The 16,999-nt window shown below is 41.2% G+C and overlaps 1 protein-coding gene across 8 annotated transcripts in view; it reads right to left on the reverse strand.

Moving 5' to 3' along the window:
* The window catches only part of SOD2 (superoxide dismutase 2), a 93,213-nt gene continuing 77,910 nt past the window's right edge, over positions 1,697-16,999 (reverse strand). For 5 of the 8 annotated variants that reach the window (NM_001322819.2, NM_001322820.2, NM_001322814.2 and 2 more), the window contains one exon: positions 1,697-15,266. In NM_001322819.2, the coding sequence (NP_001309748.1) occupies positions 15,121-15,266 (146 nt within the window). In that variant the 3' untranslated portion in view covers positions 1,697-15,120. The remainder of the gene's footprint in view (positions 15,267-16,999) is intronic. The other 3 variants (NM_001322817.2, NM_001024466.3, NM_001024465.3) reach the window with 1 other exon arrangement.

Raw genomic sequence — 16,999 nt, forward strand, 5'->3', positions numbered from 1 at the left:
CCCTGTAGTCCCACCTACTTGGGAGGGGTGGGCTGAGATGGGAGGATAACTTGAGCCCAAGAGGTTAAGGCTGCAGTGAGCCCTGATTGTGCCACTGCACTCCAGCGTGGGTGACAGAGCAAGGCCCATATCCATGTTCAGACTGATTGAATCAGTCTTTCATGGGTAGAGCCTGGCATCATTATTTGGGTAAAACTCCTTTGAAGTGGCTCTAATGTGTACCCAGGAATGAGAACCATTTGGCTTAAATAAAAGAAAGACATTTGGCTGGGCACGGTGGCTCACGCCTGTAATCCCAGCACTTTGGGAGGCCGAGGTGGGCAGATCATCTGAGGTCAAGAGTTCAAGACCAGCCTGACCAACATGGAGAAACCCTGTCTCTACTAAAAATACAAAATTAGCCAGGCATGGTGGCACATGCCTGTAATCCCAGCTACTCCGGAGGCTGAGGCAGGAGAATTGCTGGAACCTGAGAGGTGCAGGCTGCAGTAAGCCAAGATCGCACCATTACACTCCAGCCCAGGCAACAAGAGCGAAACTCCATCTCAAAAAAAAAAAAAAAGAAAAGAAAAAAAGAAAGACATTTAATAGTTCTCAGTAATAAAGAGAGGAACCAACTGTCTTTTAAAATTGTAGTCTTAAAAATTTGAAGGAAGAAACCCAGTGAATCCCATCTTGGGACAGGTGGCCATCACTATACCGGGGACCATAGCAAAAAAAAAAAAAAGAAAAATGTGTCAGACAAAACTACAAATGTTCAGCACGGTGTTCAAACACACACTGGGCGTGGCAGCAAGATCAGAGGATGGGAGATGAGAAAGAAGGGGGACTGAAGTCTACACGTTCAAGGAGTTTGTCTCAGAAGGAAACTGCAAAATAAAGACCATCCCTGACATGTTGACATTGATGCTGAAAGGGAGAGAGAGCCCTGAAGGCCGGGCGTGGTGGCTCACGCCTGTAATCCCAGCACTTTGGGAGGCCAAGGCGGGCGTATCACCTGAGGTCAGGAGTTAAAGACCAGCCTGACCAACATGGAGAAACCCCACCTCTACTAAAAATCCAAAATTAGTTGGGTGTGGTGGCGCATGCCTGTAATCCCAGCTACTCCGGAGGCTGAGGCAGGAGAATCGCTGGAACCTGAGAGGCGGAGGTTGTGGTAAGCCAAGATTGCACCTTTGCACTCCAGCCTAGGCAACAAAAGTAAAACTCCACCTCAAAAAAAAAAAAAAAAAAAAAAAAAAAGGAAAGCCCTGGAGGAGTGACTCTTGAGACAGAAGGTTTGACACACTCAAAGTGAGAAAATTGATCATTCAGTATACACCATGCAAAGGCCCGAATCTGGCCCCAAATATCTCATTTTGTCTGAAAAAAATGAAAATGTCACTTTTGACACCCCCCAACCAAAATCTCAATTTGTTTACAAGAACCACATAAGGAATCTTATTCCTTAACCATTTGATGGTTGAGTTCCCCAAAAATAGAAATTAAAGCCACACACTGTCTTTCATCTACCCTCTTTGCAGGGGTACATTCACTTTGGGCTCATCCCAGGCATTCTTACAGAAAAGCTTAACCAAATAAAAATAAGCTTTTTAGGGGGTAAAAAACTGTTTTGTAAACAATGATATACTTTGGGACTAAGGAGGAAATGAAAGGATACATTTAAAACATGTATATCAAGAAGTAAATAAAAACATCAGTGGAATTACTTTATTAAATCAGAAAATTACAGCATTTTTGTACATGAAAAAGCTTTCCCCCTACAACTAATAAGGTACAAATAAAAGGCGTTCTGTCGGAATTATCATGCACTGTGGTGGAAAGAACACTAAGGCAGGAAGTGGGTTCCAGAACTAGTCTGGTGAATGTTCCATGTGCTGATGAAAAGAACGTGTGTTCTGCAGCTATTAGAGTGTTCTGCACCTATTAGAATGTTCTGTAAATGTCAGGTCCATTTGGTGTAAAGTGCAATTTAAATCCAATATTTATTGGTTTTATGTCTAGAAAATCTGTCCAATGCTGAGAGTAGAGTGAAGTCCTCAACTACTATTGTATTAGAGTCTATTTCTCCCTTTAAATCTAATAATATTTGCTTTATATCTGGGTCATCCAGTGTGGGGTACATATATATTTATAATGATAATATCCTCAGGCCTGGCACAGTGGCTCATGCCTATAATCCCAGCACCTTAGGAGGCCAAAGCAGGAGGACTGCTTTGAGACCCAGAGTTTGAGACTAGCCAGGCAACATAGCATAACCCCATCTCTACAAAAAAATTTTCTTAATAAAAAAATATGATTATATCTTGCATGAATTGATCCTTGTTTCATTACATAATGACTTTTCTTTTTACAGTTTTTGACTTAAAGTCTATTTTATCTCATGTAAGTATAGTTATTTCTGCTCTTTTTTGGCTTCCATTTGTATGCAATATCTTTCTCCATACCTTCACTTTTGGCCTGTCTTTACAGGTGAGGTTTCTTGTAGGCAGCATACAGTCGAGTCATGATGGTGGTTTTTAATCCATTCAGTCAATCTATATCTTTTAAGTGGGAGAATTTAATCCATTTACATTCAAAGTTATCATCAATAGAGGTGCAGACTTTTTAAACAAATCTCTTCCCAGGAGAATCACTTGTTTTTTGAGAGACAGGATCTCTTTCACCCAGACTGGAGTGCAGTGTAGACTCACACTGTAATCACAGCTCACTGTAGACTCCAACTCATGACCTCAAGGGATCCTCCCAACTCAGCCTCTCAAGTAGCTGGGACTATAGGGATGTGCCAGCATGCCCAGCTAAATTTTAACTTTCTGTAGAGATGGGGTCTTGCTTTGTTGCCCAGGCTGGTCTCAAACTCCTGGACTCAAGAGATCCTCCTGCGTTGGCCTCCCAAAGCACAGAGATTACAAGTATAGGCCACCACACTCAGCCTTGATAGGTGAAGACTTACTTGTGTCATTTTTTAAATTGTTTTCTGGTAAAAATGCTAACAGTAACTAGGAGCTAAAAGATTCATTTGTTTTTTTCCTCCAGGCATCCACTCTGAGCCCCAGTGAAGAATGGTGGCAGCTGTAAGCACTACCAGCAAGTATACCCTACTGGTTGGAGAACTTTGTTTAAAGGATATAAGTTGTGTGCCTTCTGTAAATGACGATTTAATAATATCAATATCCATTTATCCTCTATAATCATAGTCAATACACAGAGAAAACCAAAAAATGCCAGACTTGGGTTGGGTTCCAAGATGGCCGAATAGGAACAGCTCCAGTCTACAGCTCCCAGCGTGAGCGACGCAGAAGACAGGTGATTTCTGCACTTCCAACTGAGGTACCAGGTTCATCTCACTGGGGCTTGTTGGACAGTGGGTGTAGGACGGTGGGTGCAGCCCACTGAGCATGAGCTGAAGCAGGGCAAGGCATGGCCTCACCCGGGAAGGCAAGGGGTCAGGGAATTCCCTTTCCTAGCCAAGGGAAGCTGTGACAGACGGCACCTGGAAAATTGGGTCACTCCCACCCTAATACTGCGTTTTTCCAATGGTCTTAGCAAACGGCACACCAGGAGATTATATCCTGTGCCTAGCTCGGAGGGTCCCACGCCCATGGAGCCTTGCTCATTGCTAGCACAGCAGTCTGAGATCGAACTGCAAGGTGGCAGTGAGGCTAGGGGAGGGGAGCCCACCATTGCTGAGGCTTCAGTAGGTAAATAAAGCAGCCGGGAAGCTCGAACTAGGTGGAGCCCACTGCAGCTCAAGGAGGCCTGCCTGCCTGCCTCTGTAGACTCCACCTCTGGGGGCATGGCATAGCCGAACAAAAGGCAGCAGAAATCTCTGCAGACTTCAATGTCCCTGTCTGACAGCTTTGAAGAGACCAGTGGTTCTCCCAGCACAGAGTTTGAGATCTGAGAACGGAGAGACTGCCTCCTCAAGTGAGTCCCTGACCCCCGAGTAGCCTAACTGGGAGGCACCCCCAAGTAGGGGCAGACTGACACCCCACATGGCCGGGTACCCCTCTGAGATGAAGCTTCCAGAGGAATGATCAGGCAGCAACATTTGCTGTTCAGCAATATTCGCTGTTCTACAGCCTCCACTGTGATACCCAGGCAAACAGGGTCTGGCGTGGACGTCCAGCAAACTCCAACAGACCTGCAGCTGGCGGTCCTGACTGTTAGAAGGAAAACTAACAAACAGAAAGGACATCCACACCAAAACCCCATCTGCACATCACCATCACCAAAGACCAAAGGTAGATAAAACCACAAAGATGGGGAAAAAACAGAGCAGAAAAGCTGAAAATTCTAAAAATCAGAGCGCCTCTCCCCCTCCAAAGGAACATAGCTCCTTGCCAGCAACAGAACAAAGCTGGACGGAGAATGACTTTGACGAGTTGAGAGAAGAAGGCTTCAGATGATCAAACTTCTCCAAGCTAAAAGAGGAAGTTCGAACCCATCACAAAGAACCTAAAAACCTTGAAAAAAGATTAGACAAATGGCTAACTAGAATAACCAGCATAGAGAAGTCCTTAAATGACCTGATGGAGCTGAAAACCATGGCATGAGAACTACGTGACGAATGCACAAGCTTCAGTAGCCAATTCGATCAACTGGAAGAAAGGTTATCAGTGATTGAAGATCAGATGAATGAAATGAAGTGAGAAGAGAAGTTAAGAGAAAAAAGAGTAAAAAGAAACGAACAAAGCTTCCAAGAAATATGGGACTATGTGAAAAGACCAAATCTACGTCTGATTGGTGTACCTGAAAGTGACGGGGAGAATGGAACCAAGCTGGAAAACACTCTGCAGGATATTATCCAGGAGAACTTCCCCAATCTAGCAAGGGAGGACAACATTCAAATTCAGGAAATACAGAGAACGCCACAAAGATACTCCTCGAGAAGAGCAACTCCAAGACACATAATTGTCAGATTCACCAAAGTTGAAATGAAGGAAAAAATGTTAAGGGCAGCCAGAGAGAAAGGTCGGGTTACCCACAAAGGGAAGCCCATCAGACTAACAGCTGATCTCTCAGCAGAAACTCTACAAGCCAGAAGAGAGTGGGGGTCAATATTCAACGTTCTTGAAGAAAAGAATTTTCAACCCAGAATTTCATATCCAGCCAAACTAAGCTTCATAAGTGAAGGAGAAATAAAATCCTTTACAAACAAGCAAATGCTGAGAGATTTTGTCACCACCAGGCCTGCCTTACAAGAGCTCCTGAAGGAAGCACTAAACATGGAATGGAACAACCAGTATCAGCCACTGCAAAAACATGCCAAATTGTAAAGACCATTGAGGCTAGGAAGAAACTGCATCAACTAACGAGCAAAATAACCAGTGAACATCCTAGTGACAGGATCAAATTCACACATAACAATATTAACCTTAAATGTAAATGGGCTAAATGCTCCAATTAAAAGACACAGACTGGCACACTGGATAAAGAGTCAAGACCCATCAGGGTGCTGTATTCAGGAAACCCATCTCACGTACAGAGACACACACACATAGGCTCAAAATAAAAGGATGGAGGAAGATCTACCAAGCAAACGGAAAACAAAAAAAAAGGCCGGGGTTGCAATCCTAGTCTCTGATAAAACAGACTTTAAACCAACAAAGATCAAAAGAGACAAAGAAGGCCATTACATGATAGTAAAGGGATCAATTCAACAAGAAGAGCTAACTATCTTAAATATATATGCACCCAATACAGGAGCACCCAGATTCATAAACCAAGTCCTTAGAGACCTACAAAGAGATTTAGACTCCCACACAATAACAATGGGAGACTCTAACACCCCACTGTCAATATTAGACAGATCAACGAGACAGAAAGTTAACAAGGATATCCAGGAATTGAATTCAGCTCTGCACCAAGCAGACCTAATAGACATCTACAGAACTCTCCACCCCAAATCAACAGAATATACATTCTTCTCAGCACCACATCGCACCTATTCCAAAATTGACCACATAGTTGGAAGTAAAGCACTCCTCAGCAAATGTAAAAGAACAGAAATTATAACATACTGTCTCAGACCACAGTGCAATCAAACTAGAACTCAGGATTAAGAAACTCACTCAAAACCACTCAGCTACATGGAAACTGAACAACCTGCTCCTGAATGACTACTGGGTACATAACAAAATGAAGGCAGAAATAAAGATGTTCTTTGAAACCAACGAGAACAAAGACACAACATACCAGAATCTCTGGGACACATTTAAAGCAGTGTGTAGAGGGAAATTTACAGCACTAAGTGCCCACAAGAGAAAGCAGGAAAGATCTAAAATTGACACTCTAACATCACAATTAAAAATATTAGAGAAGCAAGAGCAAACACATTCAACAGCTAGCAGAAGACAAGAAATAACTAAGATCAGAGCAGAACTGAAGGAGACAGAGACACAAAAAAACCTTCAAAAAATGAATGAATCCAGGAGCTGGTTTTTTGAAAAGATAAACACAATTGATAGACCGCTAGCAAGACTAATAAACAAGAAAAGAGAGAAGAATCAAATAAATGCAATAAAAAATGATAAAGTGGATATCACCACCAATCCCACAGAAATACAGAGTACACAGAGAATACTATAAACACCTCTATGCAAATAAACTAGAAAATCTAGAAGAAATAGATAAATTCCTGGACACATACACCCTCTCAAAACTAAACCAGGAAGAAGTTTAATCCCTGAATAGACCAATAACAGGCTCTGAAATTGAGGCAATAATTAATAGCCTACCAACCAAAAAAAGTCCAGGACAAGATGGATTCACAGCCGAATTCTACCAGAGGTACAAGGAAGAGCTGGTACCATTCCTTCTGAAACTATTCCAATCAATAGAAAAAGAGGGAATCCTCCCTAACTCATTTTATGAAGCCAGCATCATCCTGATACCAAAGCCTGGCAGAGACATAACAAAAAAAGAGAACTTTAGACCAATATCCCTGATGAAAATCAATGCAAAAATCCTCAATAAAATACTGGCAAACTGAATCCAGCAGCATATCAAAAAGCTTATCCACCATGATCAAGTGGGCTTCATCCCTGGGATGCAAGGCTGGTTCAACATACACAAATCAATAAAAGTAATCCAGCATATAAACAGAACCAAAGACAAAAACCACATGATTATCTCAACAGATGCAGAAAAGGCCTTGGACAAAATTCAACAGCCCTTCATGCTAAAAACTCTCAATGAATTAGGTATTGATGGGACATATCTCAAAATAATAAGAGCTATCTATGACAAACCCACAGCCAATATCAGACTGAATGGGCAAAAACTGGAAGCATTCCCTTTGAAAACTGGCACAAGACAGGGATGCCCTCTCTCACCACTCCTATTCAACATAGTGTTGGAAGTTCTGGCCAGGGCCATCAGGCAGGAGAAAGAAATAAAGGGTATTCAATAAGGAAAAGAGGAAGTCAAATTGTCCCTGTTTGCAGATGACATGATTTTATATTTAGAAAACCCCATCATCTCAGCCCAAAATCTCCTTAATTTGATAAGCAACTTCAGCAAAATCTCAGGATACAAAATCAATGTGCAAAAATCACAAGCATTCTTATACACCAACAACAGACAAACAGAGAGCCAAATCATGAGTGAACTCCCATTCACAACTGCCTCAAAGAGAATAAAATACCTAGGAATCCAACTTACAAGGGATGTGAAGGACCTCTTCAAGGAGAACTACAAACCACTGCTCAAGGAAATAAAAGAGGACACAAACAAATGGAAGAACATTCCATGCTCATGGATAGGAAGAATCAATATCGTGAAAATGGCTATACTGCCCAAGGTAATTTATAGATTCAATGCCATCCCCATCAAGCTACCCATGACTTTCTTCATAGAATTGGAAAAAACTACTTTAAAGTTCATGTGGAACCAAAAAAGAGCCTGCACTGCCAAAACGATCCTAAGCCAAAAGAACAAAGCTGGAGGCATCACGCTACCTGATTTCAAACTATACTACAAGGCTGCAGTAACCAAAACAGCATGGTACTAGTACCAAAACAGAGATATAGACCAATGGAACAGAACAGAGCCCTCAGAAATAATACCACACATCTACAACTATCTGATCTTTGAGAAACCTGACAAAAACAAGAAATGGGGAAAGGATTCCCTATTTAATAAATGGTGCTGGGAAAACTGGCTAGCCACATGTAGAAAGCTGAAACTGGATCCCTTCCTTACACCTTATACAAAAATTAATTCAAGATGGATTAAAGACTTAAATGTTAGACCTAAAACCATAAAAACCCTAGAAGAAAACCTATGCAGTACCATTCAGGACACAGGCATGGGCAAGGACTTCATGTCTAAAACACCAAAAGCAATGGCAACAGAAGCCAAAATTGACAAATGGGATCTCATTAAACTCAAGAGCTTCTGCACAGCAAAAGAAACTACCATCAGAGTGAACAGGCAACCTACAAAATGGGAGAAAATTTTTGCAATCTACTCATCTGACAAAGGGCTAATATCCAGAATCTACAAGGAACTCAAACAAACTTACAAGAAAAAAACAAACCCCATCAAAAAGTAGGTGAAGGATATGAAGAGACACTTCTCAAAAGAAGACATCCATGCATCCAACAGACACATGAAAAAAATGCTCATCATCATGGGCCATCAGAGAAATGCAAATCAAAACCACAATGAGATACCATCTCACACCAGTTAGAATGTCAATCATTAAAAAGTCAGGAAACAACAGGTGCTGGAGAGGATGTGGAGAAATAGGAACACTTTTACACTGGTGGTGGGACTGTAAACTAGTTCAACCATTGTGGAAGACAGTGTGGCGATTCCTCAGGGATCTAGAACTAGAAATACCATTTGACCCAGCCATCCCATTACTGGGTATATACCCAAAGGATTATAAATCATGCTGCTATAAAGACACATGCACACGTATATTTATTGTGGCACTGTTCACAATAGCAAAGACTTGGAACCAACCCAAATGTCCATCAATGATAGATTGGTTTAAGAAGATGTGGCACATATACACCATGGAATACTATGCAGCCATAAAAAAGGAAGAGTTCATGTCCTTTATAGGGACATGGATGAAGCTGGAAACCATCCTTCTCAGCAAACTATTCCAAGGACAAAAAAACAAACACCGCATGTTCTCACTCATAGATGGGAATTGAACAATGAGAACACTTGGACACAGGAAGGGGAACATCACACACCGGGGCCTGTCGAGGGGTGGGGAGAAGGGGGAGGGATAGCATTAGGAGATATACCTAATGTAAATGACGAGTTAATAGGTGCAGCACACCAACATGGCACATGTATACATGTAACAAACCTGCATGTTGTACACATGTACCCTAGAACTTAAAGTATAATTTAAAAATAAATAAGTAAAAAATAAAATGCCAGAGTTGGCACCTTAAGATCCTCTTTCACAGCAAAGGAGCAGGACTAAAACCAGGCATCTTGACCAATATCCCACAGGTGCTCTGGTAAAATCTCCAAGACCAGGACCCAGGTCTTCCAGTACCTAATTCAATGTTCTTTCCATGCCCACACAAAGGCAAGCAGCAGAAGGAGGAGCAAGCATAAGGCCTTCCCAGTCACCACAGCCATGCTGTCAAACCTCTCTGTGGATATGCTGTGTTAACTTCTGAGCCTTGGGGATACCCATATTTACAATATGATAAATACATTAAGTCACATTGTTTAATATTTGGATATGGGCCCAGACGCACAAATGAACAAGAACCTCATGTCCTGGGACTTCATGGAGCACAAATTATAGTGGGCAGAGAGGCAAACTTGGAATCACCGTGACGCTGGGCATCGAGACTACTGGGTGCAACAATGGGACACACTGAAAGATGACTAGCATGTCATAGGAACTTGAAAGCATTCGTGCTCCTTCCTTTTCACAAACTGAGAAATCTTAAATTTTTTTTAACGTGTCCCAGAAGCATCTTGACAACAGAAGCACTCTCATTACTGTAAAGCCCACAATGAATAGCAGACAGCATGACTTCACCCTAGACAGGTCATGCCAACTTCACATCCCTTTCCAAATAGTATGCCAGTACTATACCAAATAGTATACCACTTTAGGAAGAGTGGTACCAGGTGGTAAGCTCCTATATTCCAATGACCAGAGTAAAATATCACCAGAACTTTATGTAAAATACATCTTGTAAAAGTATGATTACTTTATTTTTCAGAGTTAAGGCAATAATCTGTGGTTGGTTAATGTTCTAAGATGTTACAAGAACTTTAAGAGACAGGGTCTCACACTGTCACCCAGGCTGGAGTGCAGTAGCACAATCATAGCTCACTACAGCTGCAAACTCCTGGGCCTGTGATCCTCCTGCCTTAGCTTCTTAGTAGCTGGGATGATAGGTGTGAGTAACCACAACCAGCTATTATGAGAAATATATAAAATACTATTTGTGATCATGTTATTTATAAGAAATATATATATTGTCTCAATCCTTGCTTGGTCTCTTGGCTCCTAAACCCCTTGAAGTATCTTTGGTTTGCCAATGAAATGATTGGTGGCTGGGAGCCTCTAGGTAGCTTCAGGACGGGGGGCTGCTTACCAGAAAGACCAAGGCAAGATTGGAGGGTTTGGACTCCCAGCCTCAACCCCCAACCTCCAGAAAGGGGAGAGAGGCTGAAGGTTGAGTTAATCGCCAATTGCCAATGGTAATGCTGACATAATGAAGCCTCCGTAAAACCCCAAAGGGTCGGGGTCCAGATGAGCTTCTGGGTAGCTGATGACGTGGAGAGAGCATGAAAGCTCCATACCCCTTCCCACATGCCTTGCCCTGTGCATCTCTTCCATCTGGCTGTTCATCTGTATTCTTTGAAATATCCTTTACAAGCCAGAGGCAATGGCTCACACCTGTAATCTCAGCACTTTGGGAGGCTGAGGTGGGTGGATGACTTGAGGTCAGGAGTTTGAGACCAGCCTGGCCAACAGAGTGAAACCCCATCTCTACTAAAAATACAAAAATTAGCTGGGCATGGTGGTGCACACTTGTAATCCCAGCTACTTGGGAGGCTGAGGCATGAGAATCGCTTGAACTCAGGAGGTGGAGGTTGCAGTGAGTTGAGACTGTGCCACCGCACTCCAGCCTGGGTGACACAGTGAGACTCCATCTCTAAATAAAAAAATAAATAAATGAAATATCCTTTACAATAAATTAGTATTGTAACCAATATGTAGTTTTAATAAAGTAATAAAATTAAAAATGGGTAAACATAAGTAGAGTGTTTCTCTGTGTTCTGGGAGCTGCTCTAGCAAATAAATCAAAACCAAGGAAAGGGTCACGGGAACCCCACTTTATAGCCAGTCAGAAGTATAGGGACTTGCGATTGGTATCTGGAGTGGGGGCAGTCTTGTGGGCTGAGCCCTCCACCTGTGGGATCTGACTCCAATTCCAGGTAGACAGTGTCAGAATTGAATTATAGGACATCCAGCTGGTGTCCACTGGACAACCTGGTGTAAAAGTATTGAGTGGTATGTGACAACAGCAAAAACACTTTGGTTTTGTCGTATATCCCTAATACTATGCTTTTAGGTTATCAGATGATGTTATTACAGATATGACTGGAGATACAGGTCTTGGTCTTAAGAGTAATATTTCAACTACCCATTATTTACTATTCCTTTCCCATGGAAACTCAGTGAAAATGACAGAAGATTATAGGATTTTTAAAGTTTTTGACATGCAAGCATAATGCAGACCTCTTTGATGGTTGACAGATTCTTTTATTAACAGTCAAAAACTTCACACAATTGGAAAATAAATGTTTCTTCAATGAATAATCAAACAAAAATTATCCAGGACCTTATAGGGTTTTCAGTATGTACCAGGCTTGATGCACATCTTAGAAGACAGGACATTATCTTGCTGGGATCATTAGGGTATGACTGAAAGTGAGAAACAGTAATTTGTAAAACATTTACCTAATAATAGCTTTCCCAAACAGTACTTCCCCTGGAATTAAAACAGGAAATACAATTTATGTTTATACGTGGTTTTAGATATGACTCAATATACATAGATTTTAACTTTATGGTTTGGTATTACTTTTTTAAAGGCGCTCAATAGAAATTCAAATCTCACTTTAAGACCATGAATTTCAAGTTGCAATGAAGTGTACAATAAAGTTGTGATTTCTCAACATCAAAGTTTAATTATTACAAAATAGTTCAAGCAACAGATAGAATTTCAAAAACAGTATTTGCTTTGCTTCCTTGTTTTGCTCCAACACTAATCATGCTGAGGTTTTTGAAGCACAGCTATGACTAGGGCAGGCACTGCTGATTCAGTCACAAAAACCCTTCTTGGATGAACAATACTTGTTCTTTTCAGAAGAAAAGCAATTTTACCTTTTCTATTTCTATTATGAAAAACAGAGCTAAACAATTTTTGTATTTTTAGTAGAGACAGGGTTTCACCACGTTGGCCACGCTGGTCTTGAACTCCTTCAAGTGTTCTGCCTGCCTTGGCCTCCCAAAGTGCTGGGATTACAGATGTGAGTCACCCCGCCCAGCCCTAAACAATCTTAAAGTCTCCTTTTCCACCAGATGACTAAAATCTTTAGTTTGTAAATTCCCTTAGTCTCTTAAAATCAATCTATCCAGAAGACAAGAAAGACAAACTTAGTGAAGGAAAGAATGCTTCCTCACTCTCTCACCAGAAAGCCAAAGCAAAAATAGAGCCCCACAGAAATTTCAACATTGAACATTTTTTAAATCTTAAAGCTTAGTAGGAATCAAAAAGCTTTATATAAGTCAGCAGATCTGCAAACCTTGTTAGTTCAATACAAACCATGATCTAGCAGACAACTTATATTCAAAAGCTCATCTTTCAAAAGGTTCCACCTTGCCCGTCTATTTAAACAGTCACGACCTTCCTTAGAGAGGCAAGCAGTAATCTTACATGACACATAAAAGCTGTTTCACTGTGACACATATATAATGAAAAGTAATCAGTCTCCAAAGTTTTTCCAATCCACAAGCATGCATACACACACACACATACACACACCGCTTTGGTACTCTTGTCTCTAATAATTTTTAAAGCCTACTTTTCTAACTGAATTTTAAAAGTACCTTGAATTTAAATTTTTTTTAAACTTCAGTCTTCAATATTGAAACTGCTAAGTTACCCCATTTTTCCATGAAAAAAAAATAGAAAAATAAACTTGGGGAAAAAATTAAAAATAAAAAATAAACTTGGGAAAACATTACTAAATAGGTTTAAGAAAAAAGCCTATATAGGCCAGGTGCAGTGGCTCACACCTGTAATCCCAGCACTTTGGGAGGCTGAGCCAGACGGATCACTTGAGGTCAGGAGTTCGAGACCACCCTGGCCAACATGGTGAAACCCTGTCTCTGCTAAAAATACAAAAAGTAGCCAGGCATGGTAGCATGCACCTGTAATCCCAGCTATTCAGGAGGCTGAGGTGGGACAATCACTTGAACCCGGGAAGTGGAGGTTGCAGTGAGCTCCGGTCGCGCCACTGCACTCCAGCCTGGGCAACAGAGCAAGACTCTGTCTCCAAAAAAAAAGAAAAAAAAAAAACGCCTATATAAAGAAAATATTCCAATAGGAGATAAACCTATGTACACAGAGTTGCTCACCCCAGCATTATCTGTAGTAACAATTAGAAACAAATGAAATATTCAAAAACAGTAAATTAGGCAGATGATGAAACAACATGGCAAATGTATGATGCTAAGCCAAATATACAAAAAGATCCCTGTGAGACGGAGCAGGGACCCCTCTTTGGGGTGTGCCAGGGGGATTCCCACAAGCACAGAAATAAAGGAGAATCTTGAGTTTCCTTCACCGAAAACTCCAGGCACCCAGCTCGCCCCGAGAAGGAAACCAGCAAGCTGATAAGCAAGAAGGTCATAACAGTTTCAAACAATAGCCAGGGAAGTTAGAGTCACCTAGAGACATCCTTAACACGTGCCCCTGAGCTACTTTTCAGAAACCCAGACCCCCACCAAATGGATTCACACAGACGTCAGATAAGGGGGAACACCAGGGACTAAACTCTGACCTCCATTCTTTGCTCTCAGTTTCTTCCTGAGGGGCCTGGCCAGACCTTAATGTTCCTTTCTGCGGACCCCAAGTTTTTAGACAAAGCTTTGCTTCCTTAACCAATCACAAATCAGGGAGTCTTTGAATCCACCATAACCTGTAAGCCCGCCCCCTGCCTACCCCACTTCACCTTTCAGGCCAAACCAATATATAAGCTTCATGTAGTGATTTACAATTTTGGTATACAGCCATACCACCCTGAAGGCACCCGATCTCGACTGATTTACAATTTTGCCTTTAACTTCTGCTTTCCTGAAATTTACCACTGCCTTTAAATACTCTAGCTTGTAGGTCATCATGGAGATTGGGTCTCAAGCATGAGCTGCCCAATTCTCCTTGCTTGGCGCCCTGCAAATAAACATCCTCCTTTCTCCTACTGCAAAAACCACCTTTTTGCAGTTTTGCTGTTGAAGTTTGCCTTTACTGTGCAGGTGAGCAAACCCCAGTTCAGTTCACCTGCTACATTTAAACAGTATACAGCTCTATTTGCAAAAACTATACAGGAACATTTGACCTAACAAAAACCACTGGGTGACATCTACCAGAAGTATCACTGCAGAGGATTACTCGACAAAAAGTGCAATTTTCTATAGAAAGCCGAGTGTTTCCCTTGGGAAAGTGTTAATATTTTATTTTTAAGTAACTGGGGCAAAAGACTAGATTTTCTATAACTGCAATAGAATAGGACTAGAAAGGCATCCCTACAAGTCCCCAAAGTATATGGATGGAATATTTTTGATGGTTTTATAAATGACAATTGTAATTTAGCTCTCTGAAGAAAATGTCCAATCAGATTCAATCACACAAAGCATTTACTATTTTCAATCACTTGCCCAATAACAAAATGTTTAGTAAGAAATTATTCAGAACATTAAGTTGTTTATGAAATAAGTGACTAAGCAACATCAAGAAATGCTACAATAGAGCAGCTTACTGTATTCTGCAGTACTCTATACCACTACAAAAACAGTCATAAAGAGCTTAACATACTCAGCATAACGATCGTGGTTTACTTTTTGCAAGCCATGTATCTTTCAGTTACATTCTCCCAGTTGATTACATTCCAAATAGCTTTTAGATAATCAGGCCTGACATTTTTATACTGAAGGTAGTAAGCGTGCTCCCACACATCAATCCCCAGCAGTGGAATAAGGCCTGTTAGAAAGAAGGGGAAAACAAACCAACCATCAGTTTCAGTCTAAAACATTGCATCTTCTCAATTTCAACTTTTATTATTCTACTCACACAAAATTACCCTTTGTAACAATCTCATTCACTTGTTTTTTTATATAAGTAGGAAATCTAGATAAGAATGAATATTCCTATAAAATATTTTTAATTCACTGTTTACAAAGAAAATGTGACAAATACTAACAATAAAATAGACTTGGGAAAATTAACAACAGTACTTTAATAGCTATTCTTAAAAATACCAACAAATTAATTCAAGAGCCAATTCCCAGCCTTCCTCATGGTGGTCTTAGGAGCAGCAGGAAGGGTGGGTTACATCTGTGGGAGCAGGCAAAAGCCCACTGAGAACCTCCTCCAAAGGGTCTGGGCACTCACAGGGGTTTACGAGGAACCAGCTCTGCTCCCCAAGGCTAATTTTAATCTTTGGGAATACAGAGCAGTTGGAGGACACAGTGTTTTCAGAAATTAAGTGAGGTAAATGAAGAATTTAGTTCTATCTGTAAAACATCCATTTAAAAAAACTTTTGGTCTGGGCGCAGTGGCTCAGGCCTGTAATCCCAGCACTTTGGGAGGCCGAGGCAGGCAGATCTCTTGAGGTCAGGCGTTCGAGACCAGCCTGGCCAACATGGTGAAACCCCGCCTCTACTAAAAATACAAAAAATTAGCCTGGCGAGGTGGCAGGCGCCTGTAATCCCAGCTACTCAGGAAGCTGACGCAGGAGAATTGCTTGAACCTGGGAGGCGGAAGTTGTAGTGAGCCAAGATTGCGCCACTGCACTCCAGCCTGGGCAACAGAGTGAGACTCCATCACGCACACACAAAAACACTCAAAATAAATTATAGCTCTCTCTACAAAAACAATTCTTAACCAGTATGTCTTGATCAGTTGTGAGGGAGGTCACTAGTAATTTATTATTAATAATTTCAAGTAGCAAAATTTATTAATGATTTTTATAAACAAAAGGCCATGACATTCCCTCATTTTCCTTCTAATGTGCTTTCCACAGGGAGAGGAAGGAGTGTAGCTGGGACTCACTTACAAATATCAGCCTTTCTGGTCATGCAGCTCTACAAATAACCTGACTCTACAGATCGGTGCTTACAAATTTTTTGTGGCTTTTACAAATTGTTATGCCATGTCACTGTCCCAAAAGAGCTGTTCAGATTCTGCCAAAATCTGGGTCTATCCTGTGAAGTGAGCCACAGATCAAGAGTATTCCAATGTCAGGGGTAGAAGAAGGGGCAGAGAATGACTGTTGTTGATGTGAAGGTATCACTTTAAGTTCAAAGTCCCAACCCTCTGCCAGACAACTCATGGCTCTATTTCCCATACTCTTCAGTGACATTTTTTAAATCCAATTAGGCTCAACAGCAAAGTATTTGGTGAGCCCAGCCTGGCACTTCCAAGCCGAATATTTTCATATACTCTACCAAAGAGCCCCAGAAAGGCAGAAGGTCTGGAAACCTGAGATCTAGTCCCAGTTTAACCTCAAATGCTCAGCAGAGGAGGTAACAGTACAAGCTCTGAAATCAGTCTCTGCTTGTATTTCTTTTCCTCACTCTTGTTCTATAGCTAATTTTTTTTTTATTTTAGTACATATAATTATCTAAGCTGATATTAATTCTCTGTAGAATGAAGCAGGGTTAATAAGTAAAACATTTGGCTGGGCATGGTGGCTCATGCCTGTAATCCCAGCA

This window comes from Homo sapiens, chromosome 6 (genome assembly GCF_000001405.40).
Source record: "Homo sapiens chromosome 6, GRCh38.p14 Primary Assembly".
NCBI classification, from domain to species: domain Eukaryota; kingdom Metazoa; phylum Chordata; class Mammalia; order Primates; family Hominidae; genus Homo; species Homo sapiens.